Genomic DNA, 20942 nt, shown 5'->3' with positions numbered 1-20942 from the left:
TCTTGGAATTTCCTGAGTGATGGGGAGAGAGGAGCATCTTTTGTTATTCATAATGAGTCTCTTTTCACCACACCTGAGTTCACGCTAATGAGATGACTCTTGGAGGATGGGGCTGGTGGCCAGAGAAACCAACCACGTGATTAGGGGATTGCAACTTTCATCCCTACCCAAGACCTTGGGGAGGGAAGAGGGGCTGGAGATTGAGCCAATCACCAGTGGCCAATGATTTAATCAATCGTGCCTAATGAAGCCTCTATAAAAACCCTAAATAATGGGGTTTGGGAGGTTCCAGGTCAGGGACAGCACCCCATCCACATGCCAGGAGGGTGGCTCACTCCAACTCCACTAGGACAGAAGCTCCTGTGCTTGGAACCCTTCTGAACCTCGCCCTCAGTACCTCATCACCTGTTTGTTTATATCCTATGTAACATCCTTTATAAACAAGTAAATGTAAGTAAATGTTTCCCTAATTTTTTTTTTTTTTTGACAGGGTCTCATTCTGTCACCCAGGTTGGAGGGCAATGGCGTGATCTCTGCTCACTGCAACTTCCACCTCCTGACTTGAAGTGATTCTCCTGCCTCAGCTTCTAGAGTAGCTGGGATTACAGGTACCCGCAACCACGCCCAGCTAATTGTTGTATTTTCAGTAGAGACGGGGTTTTGCCATGTTGGCCAGGCTGGTCTCGAACTCCTGATCTCAGTTGATCCACCCGCCTCGGCCTCCCACAGTGCTGGGATTACAGGCGTAAGTCACCGCGCCCGGCCTGTTTCTGTGATTTTTGTGAGCCATTACAGCAAATTATCAAAACTGAGGAGGGGGTTGTGGGAACTTCCAAATTTGGGCTGGTCAGAAGTACAGGTGACAAGCTGGGACCTAGAACTGGTATCTGAAGCAGGGGCAGTCTGCTGGGACTGAGCCCTTCACCTGCAGGGACCGTGCTAACTCTGGGTAGTGAGTGTCAGAACTGAATTTTAGAACAGCTGGCTGGTGTCTGGAGAGTCGGAGAATTGATGTGGGCGCCCCCCTCCCCACTAACATTGGTGTCAGAAGTACTGGGAATGTAGAAAGTTTTTCCTTGTTAGGTATCCAAAAAGATCTCCCACACCTGGATCCCATGGAAGGCAGCTGGGAGGGCAGGAGGTGGCTGGCTTCAGAGAGCCAAGGAGGTCTGGGAAGTCAGGAAATGGGTGTGTGGCTCAGCAGTCAGGGGCAGCGGCACCCTCTTCCCCAACTTCTTCAACCAAACACATGGTTGGGCCACAGCACCACATGGATGAAGGTGCCACCACCAGCCCTGAGAGTCACCGACATTCGTGCAGAGCTTCCCTGGTGTTGCACCAGGATGCAGGACCAGCGTCACGGACTCCAAGCCGGTGTGGAGTAGGAAAGCCCTGGGCAATCCGTCAGTAAGGTCCTTCCAGCCTGGGCTGGAGTCATATCCTCAGCCCCACTTTCTCCAACTCTTTCCTGGAAGCCCAGAGGTGCCACACACAGCTGCTGGCCACACACACTCACATAGTCCCCAGGGCCCTGGCTGAGGCTGGGGAGACCCCTATTGGCCACAATGTGGGGATGAAGTTCCCACCCTGCACAGTCACTGTAGCAACCACCCTGTGCTGAGAACCACACTCCAGGGACCAACATGCACTAGAAAAATGTCACACAGGAATACACACTCAGAGGGCACTCGAGAAACATTTATTGAGCACCTACTATGTGCCAGGCCCCAGGCAGGACACTTGGAAAACAAAGTCAATACAACCTGGTCCCTGCCCAGGAGCTCACAGTCTAGAAGGCCAAGCCATTAATCATAGAACAGCAAAGGGGCATTTGGCTTCACAATTTTACAACAAACTTTTACATACGTTTTCTCAAGTGTAAACACCCAGCAACACAGCCATGTTGTTTTAAAAGCACATTGGCATAAATGTAAACACAAGTCACAGGATTGAAAGGATGAGAGAAAACCATTTGCAGTATTTGTGCTTGCAGAACCAGATTTTTAGCATTATTTATTCCCTCCTATCAGGTAGGATACAAGTTTTGCCAATCTGTGGATAATGGTGTTTGAGACATGGGAGTTCCGTGGCCGGCCTGCCTGCCTGCCATCATGCAGTGGGGGAGCCACACTAGATACAAGGCATCCTGAAGCCTTGGCCACTGCCTTCTGTCCACCACACCTGTCTTTTAATGTCCCCTAGACAAAGACCCTGTATATTTCTAGGCTCCTCCTGAGCTTATCAGATGGGGAGAAGGGATCATGTCCCAGGAGCCCACCAAGTCGTGAGATCCCTCATACCTGGCTTGGCACATGGTGACACCCCATCAGGTGAGCACACAGCACACGCTGCCCAGGCCCAGACCCTGCCTGCCCGAGATGAACTTCCTGGTTAGTCTCAAAATCTGGCAGTGTTGGCCGGGCACAGTGGCTCACGCCTGTAATCCCAGCACTTTGCGAGGTCGAGGTGGGTGGATCACCTGAGGTCAGGAGTTTGAGACCAGCCTGGCCAACATGACGAAAACCCCATCTCTACCAAAAAATACAAAAATTAGCCAGGCATGGTGGTGCACGCCTGTAATCCCAGCTACTCGGGAGGCTGAGGCAGGAGAATCGCTTGAACCTGGGAAGCAGAGGTTGCAGTGAGCCAAGATCGCAGCCTGGGTGACAGAGCAAGACTCCAACTCAAAAAAAAAAAAAAAAATGTGCCAATGTCAGCGTCCTACAGGAATAGCTGCCCTCCAAGTCCCACCTGTGCCCCCACTTCTCCTATGTGCACATTTGTCAGCATGTGCAGAGGTATACAGTCCTGCTTACCACACCTGCCATGGGCTCTAAACAGGACAGTACAGCTGGGGTTTGAGAAGGGGCTGCCTGTGTGCTCCATCTCACCAAAGGGAAAACCACGCACAGATCTGGCCCCTGTTGGTTTAGTTTAGGAAGGTAAGGAATCCGGTGAAGAGACCAAAAGTGGCCTCCTCATGATCCAGGGAATAGGGGAAACCAGCAAGTGTTTGGGTTTAATTAAGCCAAGGGTTGGGGGGGATGAAGGTGGACAGCTGAGGGTGCAGGCCTGTAGGGCTGGAAAAGGCGGGGCTGAGTTTAGGACCCCTGTGCCCCTCACCATCATACGGAAAGGGAGGAGAGGCATCTTTCTACCTGCAAGCTGGTTACCGCCATTTCACTTTAGAAAGCTCAGGATAAGCCGGGCGTGGTGGCTCACGCCTGTAATCCCAGCACTTTGGGAGGCTGAGGCAGGTGGGTCGCCCGAGGTCAGGAGTTCGAGGCCAGCCTGACCATCATAGTGAAACTCTGTCTCTACTAAAAATACAAAAAATTAGCTGGGCATGGGCATGGTGGTGGGTGCCTGTAATCCCAGCTACTAGGGAGGCTGAGGCAGGAGAATCACTTGAACCCAGGAGGTGGAGGTTGCAGTGAGCCGAGATCGCGCCACTGCACTCCAGCCTGGGCAGCAAGAATGAAACTCTGTCTCAAAAAAAAAAAAAAAAAAAAAAAAAGAAGAAAAGAAAAAGCAAGCAAGCAAGCAAGCAAGCTCAGGCTAATTCCCAGCTCCCTGGTTGTGAGCACCCCTGGGCTTCTACAGTGACCTCTTTTGGGCAGAGGCCTACCAGGTGAGCCAGAAGGTACAATGTTAAAGAAAATTGTTTCTGACCCCCTTTCCAGAGCAGAGAGGAAGGGAGGGGGTGAGACGCCCACAGGTGACTGATAGCACAAGTCAGCCCTCGTTCCTGGGCTCCACAGAGGCCTGCCCTGGTGCTGTCCCACCTTCAGGAGAGGTGGCTCCCTGGCTCCCCCCAGGACCATCTTCCAACCCTCCTGCCCCTCAGGGTTGCTCTAGGTGGCCAGGTATCCTGCTAGCAAACCCTCTCCCCCAATGATGGCCCAGACGGAACTCTTAATAAAAAAAAATAATTTATTGTCAACAAAGGTGATATATACAACAGGAAAACAGATGTAAATGAGAACGGGAGTGAATGGGGTGCCCAGGCCCAGCTTCAGGCCTCTGCAGGGGTGGGACAGGAAGAGGTAATGGAGGCCTCCTGGTTTAGAAGCCTGAACAAGTGGGGAGGAGAGGTGTCCCCCGAGGTAGTGGGACTCAGTTCAAACCCCCTTATGACCACTCTTGTGTAAGGCACTGTGCCAAGGGAGAATGGTGGGGAGCAGGGGGAGGGTGGGAGGAGGTCATGGGGGACAAACAGAGGTGGGGGTCAGCGAAGGACTGGGGTAGGTGTTCTCCACAGGCCCAGTGCCCTACTGCACAACAGCCTCAGCCACCCTCGCCGACCTCAGGCCTGGCCAGGAACAGACACTTTCCAGTGCCCCGAAATAACAGTGGATGCTGCCCCAGCCCCCTCCTGCCCTGGCACCTGTTTCTACTCTCTCCACCAGGTGGGTGAGCCAGGCAGCTCTGAGTTATAAGCCACTGGGGGACGCTGCCTCATCCCTCCCTCCCTCCCCAGGAAAGCAAGAATTTACACTCCATTCCCTTTTTCCGGCTTCCCTGCCACAGTGGTGCTGGATTCTGACAGAACTGTGGGCCAGTCTGAGGTGTCACCTGCTCCCACACGCTTGGTGCCCTGGGGGTGCCTGGACCAGTCTTGCAGGAGGCTGACCGCTGGGGGCTCCTCCATCCGCACGCGGATAACCTGGAGATCCAGTGTCCCGCGGAGCCCCGGAGGGGGAGCTGGGCAGGGATGAGAGCAGAGAGCAGTCAGAGCCCCCCAGACACCCCACCACGAGGATGCCCCCTGGAAGCTCCGCAAACTGTACCCACATTTCCAGGGCTTTCATTATGTCCACAGCCCAGTGCCTGGCATGAGGGGAAGCCCAAGGATGGCAGGGAGCTCCACTCCTGGGTGATCGAGGACTGCTGCCAGCTAGAAAATGAGGCGCACAGCCTCCCTAGGGACAAGCCAGCTGAAGCCAGGCAGCCTTCCTCCTGTGTGTATTTTGGCACAGGGACGCCTGGTGCTCGTGCCTCTTCCTGTAACTCCTACCTGCAGCCAACTCCATTTTATCTCAAACTTACTGGGCATCCTAGCCTAACGGGTTCTGCCTGAGTGGGGCAGAGGTGATGGGGTGGGAACACCCAGAAGCAGTCTAAGGCATAGCTGTGCCCACCAAGGAGCTCATGAGGGACTACGTGGGGGACAGAAAAGACCCCTGGCGAACTTCCACCAGGCTCTTTATCTCCTGAGTGTCAACACCTACATCACCAAGACCAGGTGTCCACCTTACCAGTATGGAGAAGGCACTCATAATGGGCAAAGCTGGGCCTCGAGGCAGAGGAAAGAGGACTGAGGACTGCCGTGGCTGCGTGCAGCCATAAAAAACGAGCACGCAACAGGGACGTGTGCAAAGGTTACGTTACATTAGGGCTGGGCATGATGGCTCATGCCTGTAATCCCAGCACTTTGGGAGGCCAGGGTGAGCAGATCACTTGAGGTCAGGAGTTTGAGACCAGCCTGGCTAACATGGAGAACCCCTTTACTAAAATACAAAGAAATTAGGCAGGCATAGTGGTGCACCCCTCTAATCCCAGCTACTCAGGAGGCTGAGGCGGGAGAGTCGCGTGAACCTGGGAGGTGGAGGTTGCAGTGAGCCAAGATCACGCCACTGCACTCCAGCCTGGGCAATAGAGTGAGACTGTCTCAAAAAAAAAAAAAGTTACATTACATTGAAAGGCAAAAACAGAAGATGGTGATTTCAACTACTGCACTGTCTATATTGGGAAGGATTTATTTGTGTGTGTTCCTTTTCTACCCTGTTTTTAGAGACACGATTATTTAAAATGTGGCACAGAAAACAGGTACAATTTTGCTGTGCGATGTGCTGGAATTTAAAATGACTTAGTGGCTGCCACCCCATTTTTATCACCTACCAAATGCTATTCTGTGTTCCCAGAACACAGTTTGTCTCCCTGATAAACTATAGGCTCCCTGAAGGAACACTGAACCCCATTTGTTCATTAATTTGACAATAATTTATTGAGTACTATATGCCCAATGCCGTTTGGATTGCTAGGGGTACAGCGGTGAATGGAGCTCCCTAAGTGGCCTTCTGGGACTTCACATTCTATTTATCAGAGCTAATAAATAGGATAAACAAATAAAAAATGCAGTATGTTATATATGGACAGATGCAAAGTAGCAAAGTACACCAGGGAAAGGAGATAGGATAATAGGATAGCAGAAAGCTGACAGGGGACCACAGACACAGAGGGAGTGAGGAGCCAGTGAGGCAGACAGGGAGGGAACAGCATTTTGAGCAGAGGGAGGAGCAAATGTGGATGCCCTGGTGGAGCACGCTGGCTTCCCCAGGAACAGCAAGGCCAGTGCCTGTGCGGGGAGCGGGATGTGGGGGGAGAGGTCAGGAGCCTGTGGGGAGCTCACTAGTCACCATGAAGGCTCTGGCTTTTATCTGGAGTGCAACAGGAGCAGCACAGAAAGGCCATGAGTAGAGGAGTGACTGGATCTGACTTGTGTTCTCAGCAGGGACACTCTGGCTGCTACAGGAGAGCAGAGCATAGCGGGCAAAGCTCAGCAGCCAGGAGACCTGGCTTAGGTTTGTTACAGGAACCAGGCGAGAGCCGGCCCTGACTAGGGTAGCAGCAGTGGATGTGGTGACAGCAGTGTGAGCTCTGAACTTGTTTTGGAGGATCGGCTGCTGGACAGATGCTGGGCTGGAGAAAGAAGAGGATGACTGTGTGGGTGTGGTCACAGCAAACTGAAGCCTGGGGCTGCCTGTTCACTGGGAAAGGGAAGATTGTGGAGTCTAGGGGTAGGGTGCATTGGTGAGACTGGGGGTTCAGTTTCAATGTGGCGAGTTTGAGATTTTTTTTTTTTTTTGAGATGGAGTCTCGCTCTGTCGCCAGGCTGGAGTGCGGTGGCACAATGTTTGAGATCTTTTAGACACCCATGTAGAGACGCCACCTGGGCAACTGGAAAAGAGGATGGAACCAGGAAGGAGCAGCCAAGGTGGGCATTATGAGCACACACATGTCATTGAAAGCTGTGAACCTGGATGAGATCTCCCAGGGAGCGAGTACCGACACTGACCCACGGCTGCGGATACTTAAGCACGTACTCATTCACCAAACACATAAGCCGGGCCTACGCTGTGCCAGGCACTGTTCTGGTTACCGCAGATATTATAGTGCAGGACGCAAACACCCTAACCTGCAGGCCCTTACATTCTAGAAAGGGAAAGGCAGACAATGATACGACGTGTTCCAACTCTGGGAGCTGAGAGTGAGCGGCAAGAGAAACTGAGAAGGAACAGTTAGTGAGGGAAGAGGAACACCAGGCGAGCAGCTGCCTGAAAAGCCAAGGGAAGAAAGTTGTCTCCAGGAAGGAGTGAGTGATCAGCCCACCGTAACCACGAGATCATAAAGAGAAGGACCGGCCAGGTGCAGTGGCTCATGCCTGTAATCCCAGCACTTTGGGAGGCCGAGGTGGGCGGATCACCCGAGGTCAGGAGTTTGAGACTAGCCTGGCCAATAGGGTGAGACGCCATCTCTACTAATAATACAAAAAAATTAGCCAGGCGTGGTGGCGCACGCCTGTAATCCCAGCTACTCAGGAGGCTGAGGAAGGAGAATCGCTTGAACTTGGGAGGCGGAGGTTGCAGTGAGCCAAGATTGCACCACTGCACTCCAGCCTGGGCGACAAGAGCAAAACTCCATCTCCAAAAAAAAAAAAGAAAAAGAAAAACAGGCCAGGTGCAGTGGCTCACGCCTGTAATCCCAGCATTTTGGGAGGTTGAGGCGGGCAGATCACGAGGTCAGGAGATCGAGACCATCCTGGCTAACACAGTGAAACCCCGTCTCTACTAAAAATACAAAAAATTAGCCAGGTGTGGTGGTGGGCGCCTGTAGTCCCAGCTCCTTGGGAGGCTGAGGCAGAAGAATGGTGTGAACCTGGGAGGAGGCGGAGCTTGCAGTGAGCCAAGATCACGCCACTGCACTCCAGCCTGGGCGACAGAGCGAGACTCCATCTCCAAAATAAAAAAAAGAAAAACACCAGCAAGACAGAGAGGCTCCTCTTTCCATTACTTGTCAGTGGGTCATTGTGGCCCACCTCCTCTCCTGGCCTGCACACTCTCCCCATCCTCCTCTGGCAAGGTCCTCAGAAGGTTCTAGAGTCTTCCTGGACTACCTCACATTCACATTCATCAGCTCAGCTAACCTGACCACAGGTGGCCTTTTCCAACTGTTAAATCCACGATTTTTACACCTCTAATTTTTTTTAAAGTGGCAGGATCTTTATTTAAATAAAGTCTTCAGAGAACTTCAATACGTACATAACAACACAGAAAGTAGAGACATTTTGGTCGAAGCCTCACAGGTTTCTGAGAAATCTGTCCAAGCTTTGGGTTCGTGAGATCGTCTGAAACCACAGGTCCAGAGCCTCTGCTCCGCAAAGAACCGCCACGGGGGCCCCTGGTTTTTAAAGATTTACTGCCTCCAGCCTATATACCTGGACACAGAATTTTGGGGGACAAAGGCTGTCTCACTCATGCCATCTCCCAGGGTGCCTCCCTCGGGCACAGGCTCCAGGAACACTTGTGTACCAGTGAGGTATCCTCTATGGTTTCCCAGGCATCTCCAACCTCCACGAAGGCTGCCACTGCTGACAACACCCTACAATTGCCTCCGCCCCCTCAGATCACTCAAGCAGCCTGCTGAAGCCCCTTCCTCTCAGACTTTGCCCACTCACCCCAAAGAAACCTAGAATCTCAGGGATTCTCTTCTCATCTACTCACCACTCCAGATAGATGGAGTTTGCGCACAGGGTACCCCAGGACTTGAAATGAGGGCTCCCTTTCGAGAATGAAATCAGAAGACCCATTAGACAGTGGAAGAGGTCAGCCATTTAGAGCAGGGATCCACCGGAGAGGACCAGGAGACTCGGGACACGCTCAAGTCCAAGCAGCACACTCGGTCTCAGGGAGCCAGGACTGGAATGTGACTCAAGCTGAAACTTGAGACAGTTAAAACTGTGATCTACGTGAAGGGGTGAGGCCTGCCTCGAGATCAGAAAACGGGGGGCTCAAATTTAGGCAAATAAACAAAAGCAACTACACACACACGCAAACACACAGAGAGCTCTCTCTGAAGGATACAAACCAAATTAAGAGTGGTATAGCAGTGAACACAAAGAAAAACTTTGTGAGGGGTGAGTGGAGTGTGACTAAAGGAGTACATAATACGCTGCCTTTTTTCTTTGTTTCTTTTTTTTTTTTTTTTTTTTTTTTAGACAGTCTAGCTCAGTTGCCCAGGCTGGAGTACAGTAGTACAATCTGATTGGAGTACAATCAGAATTTACTGCAACCTCAAATTCTTGGGCTCAAGTGATCCTCTTGCCTTAGCCTCTAGTCTTAGTAGGGACTAGAGGTGCACACCAACATGCCCAGTTAATTTAAAAAATTTTTCTAGAGATGGAGTCTCCTTATGTTGCTCAGGTTGGTCTCGAACACCTAGCCTCAGGCAATCTTCCCACTTTGGCATCCTAAAGTGCTGGGAATGACAGGTCTGTGAGCCACTGTGCCTAGCCAAGGCTTTTTTCTTTATGCAAAAAAGCACACCTGTCATCCCAGAACTTTGGGAGGCCCAGGTGGGAGGACTGCTTGCACCCAGGAGTTGGAGACTAGCTTGGGCAACACAGTGAAAACCTGTCTCTACAAAAAATTTAAGAATTAGCCTGGTGTGGAGATGCACACCTGTGGTCCCAGCTACTCAGGAGGCTGTGGCAGGAGGACTGCTTGAGCCTGGGAGTTTGAGGTTGCAGTGAGCTATGATGGCGCCATGGTACTCCAGCCTGGGCAGGGACTCTGTCTCAAAAAACAAAAACAAAAGCACACCTGCTTTTTGAGAGCCCTACTCTCAGGAGAGCCTCCAGCCACCTCGTTGGCCATCATTCTATGGCTCTAGTTTCAAACACACATTTCAGACAAGTTGGTACAAGGAGACGTGCACTCCTACCTATTCACTTCTTCAAGAAGCATTTCCTGAGCGCCTGTAAACTATGCTTGGCATGGAGAGGTGAACAGAGGACTAGGCTTGGTCTCTGCCCTGCTGGACTACATTCCAGTCTCATCCTAATTCTGTCTGCTGGGTCATGTGTGGTTGGCAGAATGATGCCCCTCACCCTAATCCCTGGAACCCGTGAATGTTTTGTTACATGGCAAAGGGGAATGAAGGTTACAGATGAAATTAAGGTTGCTCATCAGCGGACTCAAAAAGAGATTATCCTGGACTGAGTAGCCCAATATAATCATGAGGGTCCTTGAATGGGGAAGAGGCAGATGAGCCGGAACCCAGGACAGTATCTGAGAAAGACTCTACTAGCCACTGCTGGCTTTGAAGATGGAAGGAGGCCACAAGCCAAGAAATGCAGGCAGCCTCTAGGAGCTGGGCAAGTCAAGAAAATAGATTTTCCCCTAGAGCTTCCAGGAAGGAACACAGCCCTGCCAACAGCTTGATTTTAGCTCAGTGAGACCCATTTTGGACCTCTGACCTCCAGAACTGTAAAATAATAAATTTGGGTTTTGTTTTGTTTTTAGAGAGGGTCTCGTTCTGTCGTCCAGGCTGGAGTGCAGTGGTGTGATCATAGCTCATTGCAGCCTTGAACTCCTGGGCTGAAACAATCCTCCTGTCTCAGCCTCCCAAGTGGCTGGGACTACAGGCACAAGCGATGTGTGTTGTTTTTTTTTTTTTTTTTTGAGACGGAGTTTCGCTCTGTCGCCCAGGCTGGAGTGCAGTGGCGCGATCTCGACTCACTGCAAGCTCCGCCTCCCGGGTTCACGCCATTCTCCTGCCTCAGCCTCCCGTGTAGCTGGGACTACAGGCGTGCGCCACCATGCCCGGCTAATTTTTGTATTTTTAGTAGAGACGGGGTTTCACCGTGTTAGCCAGGATGGTCTCGATCTCCTGACCTCGTGATCCGCCCGTCTCAGCCTCCCAAAGTGCTGGGATTACAGGCGTGAGCCACCGCGCCCGGCCCGATGTGTGTTGTTTTAAGCCATTAGATTTGTGTGATTTGTTACAGCAGCAAATAGGAAACTGACATAAGGACCATGGGGAAGAAGGAACCATTTCTTTGAGAAATGGTTTTCCCTTTTGGAAAAAGGAATGGACATCTGCCCTTCTATACAAGTTATTTTTGTAAGGGCCAAATAAACTGTATGTAAGCTTCTTTTTTTTTTTTTTTTTTGGAGACAGAGTTTCACTCTGTTGCCCAGGCTGGAGTGCAGTGGCGCAATCTCGGCTCACTGCAACTTCCACCTCCCAGGTTCAAGCAATTCTCCTGCCTCAGCCTCCCAAGTAGCTGGGATTACAGGCGCCTGCCACCACACCTGGCTAATTTTTATATTTTTAGTAGAGATGAGGTTTCGCCATATCGGCCAGGTTGGTCTCAAACTCCCGACCTCAGGTGATCTGCCCGCCTCAGCCTGCCAAAGTGCTGGGATTACAGGCGTGAGCCACCACGACTTGCCTTGTATGTAAGCTTCTTAAACTCAGTAGGAGCCCAAACAACACAAGCACTTACTGCTGTTATGAGGCAATTTACTGAGCTGGTGTCCCCTGGAGGTGTCTGTCCACTGCTCATCTTATCTATTCTCTGGACACCTAACTGAATTGCTGAGTGGCCCCATCTGGGCCTCAGCTCCACCAGGGTAAGGTGGGCACCCCTCAGGCTCTAGCTAGAACAAACTGCATGTGTGGAAATCAGTATCAGGCTTCTGGGAAACACTGGCCTACCCGGACCCAGTGACCAATTCCAGGAAACAAGGAAACACTAAGAAAAGCCCACCTGGTCAGGTGCGGTGGCTCACGCCTGTAATCCTAGCAGTTTGGGAGGCTGAGGCAGGTGGATCACCTGAGGTCAGGAGTTCGAGACCAGCCTGGCCAACATGGCGAAACCCTGTCTCTACTAAAAATACAAAAATTAGCTGGGCATGGTGGCACACGCCTGTAATCCCAGCTACTCAGGAGGGTGAGGCAGGAGAATCGCTTGAACCTGGGAAGCAGAGGATGCACTGAACCGAGATCGCGCCACTGCACTCCAGCCTGGGCGACAGAGCAAGACTCTTGTCTCAAAAAATAAAAAATAAAAAAATAGGCCAGGCGTGGTGTACTTTGCGAGGCCAAGGCAGTTGGATCACCTGAGGTCAAGAGTTTGAGACCAACCTGGCCAACATGGGAAAACCCTGTCTCTACTAAAAATACAAAAATTAGCCGGGTATGGTGGCGCACGCCTGTAATCCCAGCTACTAGGGAGGGTGAGGCAGGAGAATTGCTTGAACCTGGGAGGCAGAGGTTGTAGTGAGCCGGGCTTGTGCTACTACATGCCAGCCTGGGCAACAGAGCAAGATTCCGTCTCAAAAAACAAACAAACAGAAAAAGAAAAGCTCAGCTTTCAGGCCAGCCTTCCTCATCATTCAGATCCCCTGCCCCGGCCCCGTGTACCAGGAAACCTGAGCACCACCCACCCCACCCACCCCACCCACCCCTACTGTGGGCTCTGCCATAGAGCAGCCTCTCTGAGGCCTGGCCCAGGAGCGCTGCCTGCGAGGTCCCTACTGTGCTTCCCTCTCAGGAGGGCTCACCTGGAGAGGGGCTCTCCGCCCGGGGAAGGCCTCCTTCTGCCACTTCCCTGTCTTTGGGTGAGTCCTTGCTGTCTGGGCCCCTGAGCTGGGTGTGGGAGAAGAGCTGCAAGACGAAGCCGGCGGGGAAGCTGCCGTCAGTGAAGTGTCGGACCTCGGCTGGTGCTGCGAAAGTCTCCGTGGGCGAGTCTGGCGATGGGGGCTCTGGAAGGGAGGACGGGATGGAACTGTGAGTGAAAAAGCCTCAGGAGCTGCAGGCGCCCTGCGCCCAGGCCCTGCTCCATCCTCACTGATGCGGATTTCCTCAGAGCACTGCGGCCAGAGCCCACGCCTCCCCCGGGCCTCCCCTTCACCTGGGTCAGGGTCCAGGTTTTTGGTCATAGGTCTGCCTCTTTTCTTTCTGACTGGCTCTTCCCCTGGGGGTTCCTTCCATCTCTGACCACGGGGCTTCTTATTTCCTGGCTCTGTGGCAGGGACAGCTGCAAAAAGAAAAGACCTCATACCCTTTTAAAGAGGCCATCCCCGAACCCTGCCACCCCAGGGCTCCTGAAGATACCTGCCCAGAACACAGGGCCTGTATTTCACCCTGTCCCCAAACCCCCACCTCCACCGGGGCTCACTGGCTTCTCTGTTGACTAACCAGGAAGCTCGAGGGGGCGGAGTCCCCTGGGCCGGCTCCTTTTAGGGAGGGATGGGTTATCCTCAGAGTCAAGGAGAACGACGATTTCGGCTGGCATTCTGGCAGCGTCTGGGTTGGCGTCTGGGTCTGGGTGGGCATCCTGGCCCGAGTCTGCAGGGAGCAAGAGCACAATGAGCTTCTAGTGCCCCAACAAGTCCGACTTCTCCCTTCGCCAGCCCCAGGACCAACTACCTGAGTTGGGTGGGGACGGCTGCTCAGCTCTCACGTCTTGCAAGAGGGCCACCCCTTCACTCCAGGCCTCCAGGATATTGCTCTTCTCAGAAGGGCTCAGGTCCAAGGTGTGAGGGTGCTGCTCCAAGATGTGCGAGCGAGCTGTGTCGGCCGAGGGTGCCCGGATCTCAGCGCCACACACCATGCACAGTGCCCGCCCGCTGCCTCCTGGGCTGCTGCCCACCAGGAACTCCTGCTCCCAAGACACCTGCTGCTTCGGCTCCTCACAGCCATCACTGCCTGCCTCTAGCGGGCTGGGTCTAGGCGGTGGGGTCTTCTCCTGTTGGGTCACTGCGAGGGGAGAGGGGGAGGGTGTTATCACTAAAGGTGCCCACAACCAACAACACTTAGCACGTCTCCAGACTCAGTGGTTTGAGTGGGATGGGGGAGGAGAGCATTTCTGGCCAAAGTGTTCTTCTTCCTTCCCCTGGAGCCCATGAGGCACACGCCACACTCAACACAGCCGATGTGCCCGGGATCCCACGACTCTCGCGTCTATACTTCCTCTTGATCTAGTCTTGGACCTTAGGACTAACTACACATACTTTCCCAACAGGCTGCATTCTTGCAGGTCTCCAGCCTTTGCACATCTGTCCAGACCACCCTAATTGGGCTGGGCAACATCATCCCTGCGAAGCTTTCCAGAACCCCAATCCCTGACAATAGATTTCATCCAAATCTGACTTCTACACTTTCTTGAGGATGAGGAAGGTAAATTCTTTTAATTTTTAAATTTTATTTATTTATTTTGAGACAGAGTCTCACTTTGTCACCCAGGCTGGAATGCAATGGCGTAATCTCAGCTCATTGCAGCCTTGACCTCCTGGGTTCAAGCGATCCTCCTGCTTCAGCCTCCCAAGCACCTGGGACTACAGGTGAGCGCCACCATGCCTGGCTAATAATTTTTTTTTTAAAAGATGGGGGTCTCATTTTGTCACCCAGGCTGGAGTACAGTGGTGTTATCATAGCTTACTGCTGCCTTCAACTCCTGGACTCAAGGGACCCTCCAGCCTTAGCCACCTGAGTAGCTAGGGCTACAGATAGATGCATGCTATCACACCCAGCTAATTAACAAACAAAAAAATAATTTTTAAGAGATGGGGTCTTGCTATGTTGCCCAGGCTGGTTGTGAACTCCCGGGCTCAAGCAATCCTCCTGCTTCAGCCTCCCAAAGTGCTGGGATTATAGGCATGAGCCACCATGCCCGTTCTAAAGGCCACCCCATCCCCTCAGAACTCGCCTCCCTTCTCAGTGCTCACAGAGCATTTACAGCCATGGTCCCACTCCTATTGCTGCCTGATACCTGCTCTTTGTGTACACAGACAGACCATAAGCTTTCACAGGGCATCACCCTTTCCAGTTCAGCAAAGAAGGCAGCCTTAGACCTGCATCAGCCTGGAAGCTCAGTGCTTTTACGAAGTGCCCATGATCCTTCACGGCTGCATCTCCCTCCTACCTTCCAGAGAGGATGGGACAAAATTAAAACACAGGAGGCCCTAATACCTGGGGGCTGCATGGAAGAGGTGGTATGAGAAATAGGAGCCTCGGCTTGCATGGATACAAGAGGTGGTGTCTGAAAGAGATACGAGATATGTCTTGTACCTATCTCTCATGCGACCATGGGCAGAAATGACCTCTCAGTTGCAATCAGCTTTCTTCCCTACTAGTCTTCCAAAACAGCTCTCATCCAAGTCAGCAGTGCTAAACTCTGCGGTCAGTTTCTCAACTTCATCCTCTGCCGATCACCTCTTCCATCTTGATTTTCATCACTTGCGTCTAGGGCATGACCTTCTGTTGGTTCTTCTTTTGCTTCCCTGGCCCTCTTTCTCAGTTATGTGTGCTAGTTCTTCCTCATCTCTTCTCAATATTCCCTCCCTTCCTCTGGCTTGTTGCTGAAGACCATCTCCCCTCACTAGAGCACCCCATTCCCCTTATGCATCACCTCCAACACAGCACACATCACCACCTGGCACTTGTTTTTGGGATGTTCACTGCCTGTCTCCTTACCACACCATAGCATCCATGACCACGGCCAGGTGCGGTGGCTCACGCCTGAATCCTAGCACTTTGGGAGGCCGAGGTGGGCGGATCACCTGAGGTTGAGAGTTCAAGACCAACCCCACCAACATGGGGAAACCCTATCTCTATTAAAAATACAAAATTAGCTGGGCGTGGTGGCACATGCCTATAATCCCAGTTACTCGGGAGGTTGAGGCAGAAGAATCACTTGAACCCGGGAGGCGAAGGTTGCAGTGAGCCGAGATTGTGCCATTGCACTACAGCTTGGGCAAAAAGAGCAAAACTCCGTCTCAAAAAAAAAAAAAAAATCCATGACCATACAGATTTCTGATGTTTTGCATCTGTATCTCCAGCATCTGTATCTGTATCTCCTCGCATGCAGTGGCATTTAGTAATGTGTGATGAGGGACTGACTCGGTCTCCAACCTGCCATCACTGGAGTTTCCCAGGACTCAGTCCTTAGACACTTCTCTACTTCCTTCTCTTCCCACTGTCTGCCTGCTGGCAATTTCTGTTTACGCCACTAGCTAGATACTTCCAGGAAATCTAGGCCCATGTATCTGACTGCTTAGTTGACCTCTCCACCTGAATATGTCATAAATAGGCATCTCAAACGTAATCATATTCAAACTTTCACTCCCAGTCTCCCAAGAGCACCGCAGCCTTCCCCATCTCGGAAAATGGGAAGGCTCTTCCTCCAGTTGCTCAGGCCAAAAACCTTGAATTCAATCTTTCTTCCTCTCTCCACCGAAATCTTTCCAGAAGCTTGTGCTGCCGGACCTTTGCACTTGCTATTCGGCCTGAAATGCTCTTCCTGCAGATATCTGCAAGGTTGGCATCCTCACTTCCTTCGGGTCTGTGCTCAAAATTCACCTTATTAGAAAACCCTTTCTGAACCACTCGATATATTCAATTAAATACCCATTCCTCCTCTTTCTCCTTTTCCTGCTTTAGTGATCTCTGAACCATTTATTGCCACCCAACATACTATACATGAACCTATTTCTCTGTCTTTAGCCATTGGTATATATATGTTCTTCAAGAGCAGGGTTTCGGTTGCTCTGTTTACTACTACTTCCCAGCCTAAAAACACTAGCCTAAACAGCCTAAAGTAGACGTCCAGTGAATATTGGTTGAATGAATTCACCTGTCTATTCCTGCCCTAACAGTGGGGATAAGGCCACCCTTGCAGGGTTGAGAGGATTAACTGAGACAGCCTCTGACAATGCCCAATGAACACTCAACAAATATTAGCAGAAGTAGGAAAACAACCTATCTTTTGGACTAAATGCTCCGAGAAGGGAGGTGACCTTTATTTCCCTCATGAATTTTATAACCCTTCCAGTTCCAAAAAGGATGACAGGCAGTGCAGGCAGACATCATTCTGTTCGGCTGAAGTTCAATGAATGGCATTGCTGCTCTCAACCTCTTTTGGGTACTATCCCGCCTAAGAAAAGCGGGGTGGGAGAATGGAAATATATTTGCATTTTCATGCATATTAAGTCTCCCACAAAGATGGCTCTTTGTTTTCTTACGGTTTGCAAGCTCCTGAGGACTAGAAATCGGTGAAGGGGGAGGGGAGAGCGAGTGTTCTGAGATTGTTCCTCCCATCCCCTCCCAAAGCTAATCTCGTTCTAGCACTGCACTGCTTTTCCAAACTAGCTGTTGTATGCAGTCCCATTCATCCCTTCTCTCCAGAACTTGACACCTGTGGCTCCTGCAAGTGGAAGGCCCGGGAATGGGAATGAAGCGGGGTGGTGGGCAGGGAAGCGTTATGCTCGGAGAGCCCTTAAAATTCTCCTGGAGGTCGGCAGCGGCGCCCGCCTGTAGCCTCCGGCCTAGAGGCTTCGCCGCCCCTCGGACTAGAACACAGCCCGGCCGTTGTGCTTGCCTCCCCTTCCCAGGCTGTGAGACGGCGGCCGCAACCACCCAGCGCCTCTGGGGATCCGGCCTCTGGTGCTGGGCCCGGGAGAGGGGGCGCTTGGGCACCGGAAGATCCGGAGCGTGCGGGGCGTGGATCGAAGTCTCCAGACCCTGGGCGGGGGAAAGGGGAAGGGAGGGGGAAATCGAGGAGGCCTGAGCTTCTAAACCATGGTGGGGGAGGTGCAAGAGCGCGCCCTGGACCCAGATCCGAGAGGGAAACCTGGGCCCCAAGGCTGAAGGGGGTGAGAAGGTGCCCGGGTCCCGGACCCCGACTGGGGAGGGACGGCCCCAGCCCCGGCCCCGCACCGTGACGCGGAAGTGGAATCCCCTCCATCCTCACCTCTGAGCATCGGCTCGGGCCGCGGAATTACGGCCACCACCATGGCCTCCTCCTCGTCCTCCCCTTCCTCGCATTTCAGCGTCACCTCGAAGCAGTCGAGTGCGGCGCCCTCGGCCTTTAGGGCCATGGTGCGGCCGTGGGCGATAGCAGTGGCCGGAGGACTGGCGCGCAGGCTTCGGCGCGCAGCCGGCAACCGCCTCCCGCCTCCTGGCCGGAATAGCGCCGGGCCCGCCGCCCGCCCCGCGCAGCCCCCTCCCCGCCGCCCGCCCGCCGCTCGCCGGCCGGGCCTGCGACCGGCGCGTCCGGGCCTCCCCGAGACCTCGGCGCGTCGGGAGCCCGGGCGGGGAGGGCTCAATCCGGGGCCCCTGCCCCCCGCCGCTCCCTTTTATGGAGGCTCATTGTCGGCGCCCGCCCGGCCGGCCAGCCGCGGACCCGCCCCCGATGCCGCGCGGCCAATCGCGCGTGGCCCCGCCCCGGGCACGCGGCCCCGTTAGAAACCCTGGACCCGGGAGGCGGCGGGAAGGGCCGAGGGGACCCGGGGCCACCCGGTGCGCAGAGGCAGAGGGGCCCCCAAAACCCGCAACGCGGGCCCCTCAGTCTGCGGGCCAAGCCCGGGGTTTCCCTCCATTAAGAAGTCAGTTGGGCGTTTCTGCTGGCGTGGAGAGCGCTACCAGGTGCCCCCGGATTTTGATCGGGAGTCGCTTTTGCCTTTCCGTGGACAAGCCTTCCTCCGCCAGCAGATGCCCCGGGCAGGAAGAGAAGCGGTGGGTGAGTGGAAAGGGCCTTGGTATGGAAACGCAGAGACCGAATTCCTTCTCATCTGCCAGCTCCGTGGCCGTGGGCACATTATCTGTTTTCTTAGTCCGGCTCATCGTTTCTTTCAAAAACCATTTTGGACCCTTCTGGGAAGGCAAAGAAGAGAAGCAGAGTGGACTGTGAGCGGACATAAACCACCCTGATGGGTATGATTTCCATTTTTGGCACGGGAGTCCGGAGATTTTGTGACCCTCTCCAAGGACACACAGCAATCCCTTGAGAGCCCCAAGACCAGAGTCCAGTTGCCATGACATTGCTGCCCTATAACCACACTCTGGGTGAGCTTTTACTTCTGTGACATGGAATGTGCATCTCCCTCTTCTATAGCAACCCTCATGAGATTTCAGCTCAGAAAATGCAAAATGTCTGACACTGAAAATCCATCTTCGAATGTCGTTATATCAGACCAGACACAGTAGTATTCAGAATCGCGTAGTAGGATGGGGGTGTGAGAAGAGGTGTGAACTAGTCTATATGGATTGCAGTCAATTTTTTAATTTTTTTTTTTTTGAGACAGAGTCTCGCTCTGTCACCAGGCTGGAGTGCAGTGGCGCTATCTCGGCTCACCACAACCTCCGCCTCCCAGGTTCAAGCTATTCTCCCGCCTCAGCCTCCTGGGTAGCTGGGACTACAGGCACGTGCCACCATGCCCGGCTAATTTTTGTATTTTTAGTAGAGACGGGGTTTCAGCATGTTGGCCAGGATGGTCTTGATCTCTTGACCTCATCATCCGTCTGCCTCGGCCTCCCAAAGTGGGATTACAGGCGTGAGCCACCGCGCCTGGCCTTGCAGTCTATTTTTAAGGGAATTATTTTGTTATGTGCAAGTGTATCTGATATTTTAAAGGTTTTACAACAAAGGTATTACCAAGCCTGTTTAACTATTTCTGCTGAATGGTCATTCTCTACCATTTGCTACAGATCCCTTCCGTGCCCCTCTGCTCTGCTCTGTATTGCAGTGGGCTGAGTCTTGCGGGGGGCAGTTTCTCAGGCTCCCAGAGCATCTGGCTTCAGGCCTCGGTTTAGCCAATGGGAGGCAGTGGCAGGAGAAGAGAAGGCAGGAGGAAAGAAAGAGCCATGGTATTTCTTCTCTTTCTCTCTCTTGCTCAGGCTCAGGTGACATCTCCAGCAGCAGATGAGGCCTCTCTGTGGCTCCAGCTCATGGATAGGTAGCTGTGGTCCCAACATCTGTAGGATGATCCATGCCCCTGGGCTCTACTCAGTCCACCTCCTCTTTTTGTCCCTGCAGGTTAGGAGTTGTAGGCAGCTTCTTGCTTTTGCCAGTCTCTGTACTGCCTCTCTCTGTCCCCTGCTGGGCTTTCCAGACCTCCCTGTTAACCCCTGTTAATCGTGTCACCAAAACCCTGCATTACATTCTCTCTGTTTTCAATACTTAAAGTGGTTCCCTCCTGGCGGGGCGCAGTGGCTCCCAACTGTAATCCCAGCAGTTTGGGAGGCCAAGGCAGGTGGATCACTTGAGGTCAGGAGTTCGAGACCAGCCTGGCCAACATGGTGAAACCCTGTCTCTACCATAAGAAAAAAGAAAAAAGAAATTAGCCCGGCATGGTGGTGTGTGCCTGTAATCCCAGCTACTTACGAGGTTGAGTCAGGAAGATTGCTTGAGCCCAGGAGGCGGAGGTTGCAGTGAGCCAAGATCATGCCGCTGCACTTGACTCCAGCCTGGGCGACAGAGCTAGATTGTCTCAAAAAAAAAGTGGTTCCTATTTTCCTGGTTGAACCTTGAGTGATACACCCAGTATTGTACCACCCAATTAGTAGACATTATTTCTTTTAGGTCATATTATTCTCAGCTTATAGAGCAAGAAGTTGAAGCTTAAAGGGTTAGATTACTTGCCCAAGGTAATACAGCAAGAATCTTATTTCATCCAACCTAGAGTGAATATTTCCCCCACATTTTAATATCCCTCAAATGGTGATGCTTTCTATAATCAACATCAACGTGAAGTTTAGGACTGAAGTTTAGGACTATCAAGAAAGTGAAAGATGGCTTTTCTGGCATTCAGACTGTGCTGTTACCAGCAGAAAGTAAGCTATGTTTAGAATGAGACATAGATGAAGCCACTTCATGACCACAAAGTGACTTCGCCTTTTTTTTTTTTTTTTTTTTTGAAATGGAGTCTCACTCTGTCACCCAACCTGGAGCGCAGTGGTGCAATCTCGGCTCACTGCAACCTCCGCCTCCCGGGCTCAAGCAATTCTCTGCCTCAGCCTCCCAAGCAGCTGGGATTACAGGCGCCTGCCACCACACTTGGCTAATTTTTGTATTTTTAGTAGAGTCAGGGTTTCAC

At 52.5% G+C, this 20942-nt stretch overlaps 1 protein-coding gene across 10 annotated transcripts, besides 3 other annotated features; it reads right to left on the bottom strand.

Moving 5' to 3' along the window:
* Positions 94-311: a silencer, noted in NCBI's record as "fragment chr11:63598793-63599010 (GRCh37/hg19 assembly coordinates)". NCBI's record gives its function as "represses an EF-1alpha promoter that drives an FKBP-Casp9 reporter gene in an ReSE screen in phorbol 12-myristate 13-acetate-treated (for megakaryocytic differentiation) K562 erythroleukemia cells {active_cell/tissue: K562(+PMA)}" and the evidence as "EXISTENCE:reporter gene assay evidence [ECO:0000049][PMID:32094911]".
* On the bottom strand, positions 3916-18176 carry SPINDOC (spindlin interactor and repressor of chromatin binding). Of its 10 annotated transcripts, none has more exons than XM_006718437.2 (7): positions 17819-18176; positions 13498-13827; positions 13267-13416; positions 12980-13105; positions 12630-12830; positions 8784-8841; positions 3916-4704 (listed from the first exon to the last, which is right to left on the bottom strand). In XM_006718437.2, the coding sequence occupies exons 1-7, from the start codon at positions 17943-17945 to the stop codon at positions 4572-4574; spliced, it is 1125 nt and encodes a 374-aa protein (XP_006718500.1). In that variant the 5' UTR covers positions 17946-18176; the 3' UTR covers positions 3916-4571. The 10 variants fall into 10 exon arrangements, 9 of the variants coding, with proteins under 9 accessions (XP_006718500.1, XP_011543072.1, NP_612480.1 ...); XM_011544770.2 differs by having other exon boundaries at positions 3916-4666; XR_007062453.1 differs by lacking the exon at positions 3916-4704 and adding an exon at positions 5985-8497 and having other exon boundaries at positions 8784-9001.
* Positions 18071-18540: a silencer, noted in NCBI's record as "silent region_3446". NCBI's record gives its function as "represses an Ori minimal core promoter by ATAC-STARR-seq in GM12878 lymphoblastoid cells {active_cell/tissue: GM12878}" and the evidence as "EXISTENCE:reporter gene assay evidence [ECO:0000049][PMID:35858748]".
* Positions 19801-20095: a silencer, noted in NCBI's record as "tiled region #949; K562 Repressive non-DNase unmatched - State 3:PromF". NCBI's record gives its function as "represses a minimal TATA promoter and a strong SV40 promoter by Sharpr-MPRA in K562 cells {active_cell/tissue: K562}" and the evidence as "EXISTENCE:reporter gene assay evidence [ECO:0000049][PMID:27701403]".

Source organism: Homo sapiens, chromosome 11, assembly GCF_000001405.40.
Source record: "Homo sapiens chromosome 11, GRCh38.p14 Primary Assembly".
In the NCBI taxonomy this organism is placed as follows: domain Eukaryota; kingdom Metazoa; phylum Chordata; class Mammalia; order Primates; family Hominidae; genus Homo; species Homo sapiens.
Note: the sequence above shows the minus strand (reverse complement) of the source record. Positions and strands in the feature narration are given on the sequence as shown.

What these genes read in the sequence shown, in the direction of transcription:
- SPINDOC (XM_011544770.2), bottom strand. Translation starts at nt 17,945, where the DNA reads ATGGCCCTAAAGGCCGAGGGCGCCGCACTCGACTGCTTCGAGGTGACG. An exon ending in AAACCTGGACCCTGACCCAG is followed by an intron (nt 12,831 to 12,979) that starts GTGAAGGGGAGG and finishes CCTCCCTTCCAG; the next exon opens with AGCCCCCATCGCCAGACTCG. An exon ending in GGCGGAGAGCCCCTCTCCAG is followed by an intron (nt 8,842 to 12,629) that starts GTGAGCCCTCCT and finishes CATTCTCGAAAG; the next exon opens with GGAGCCCTCATTTCAAGTCC.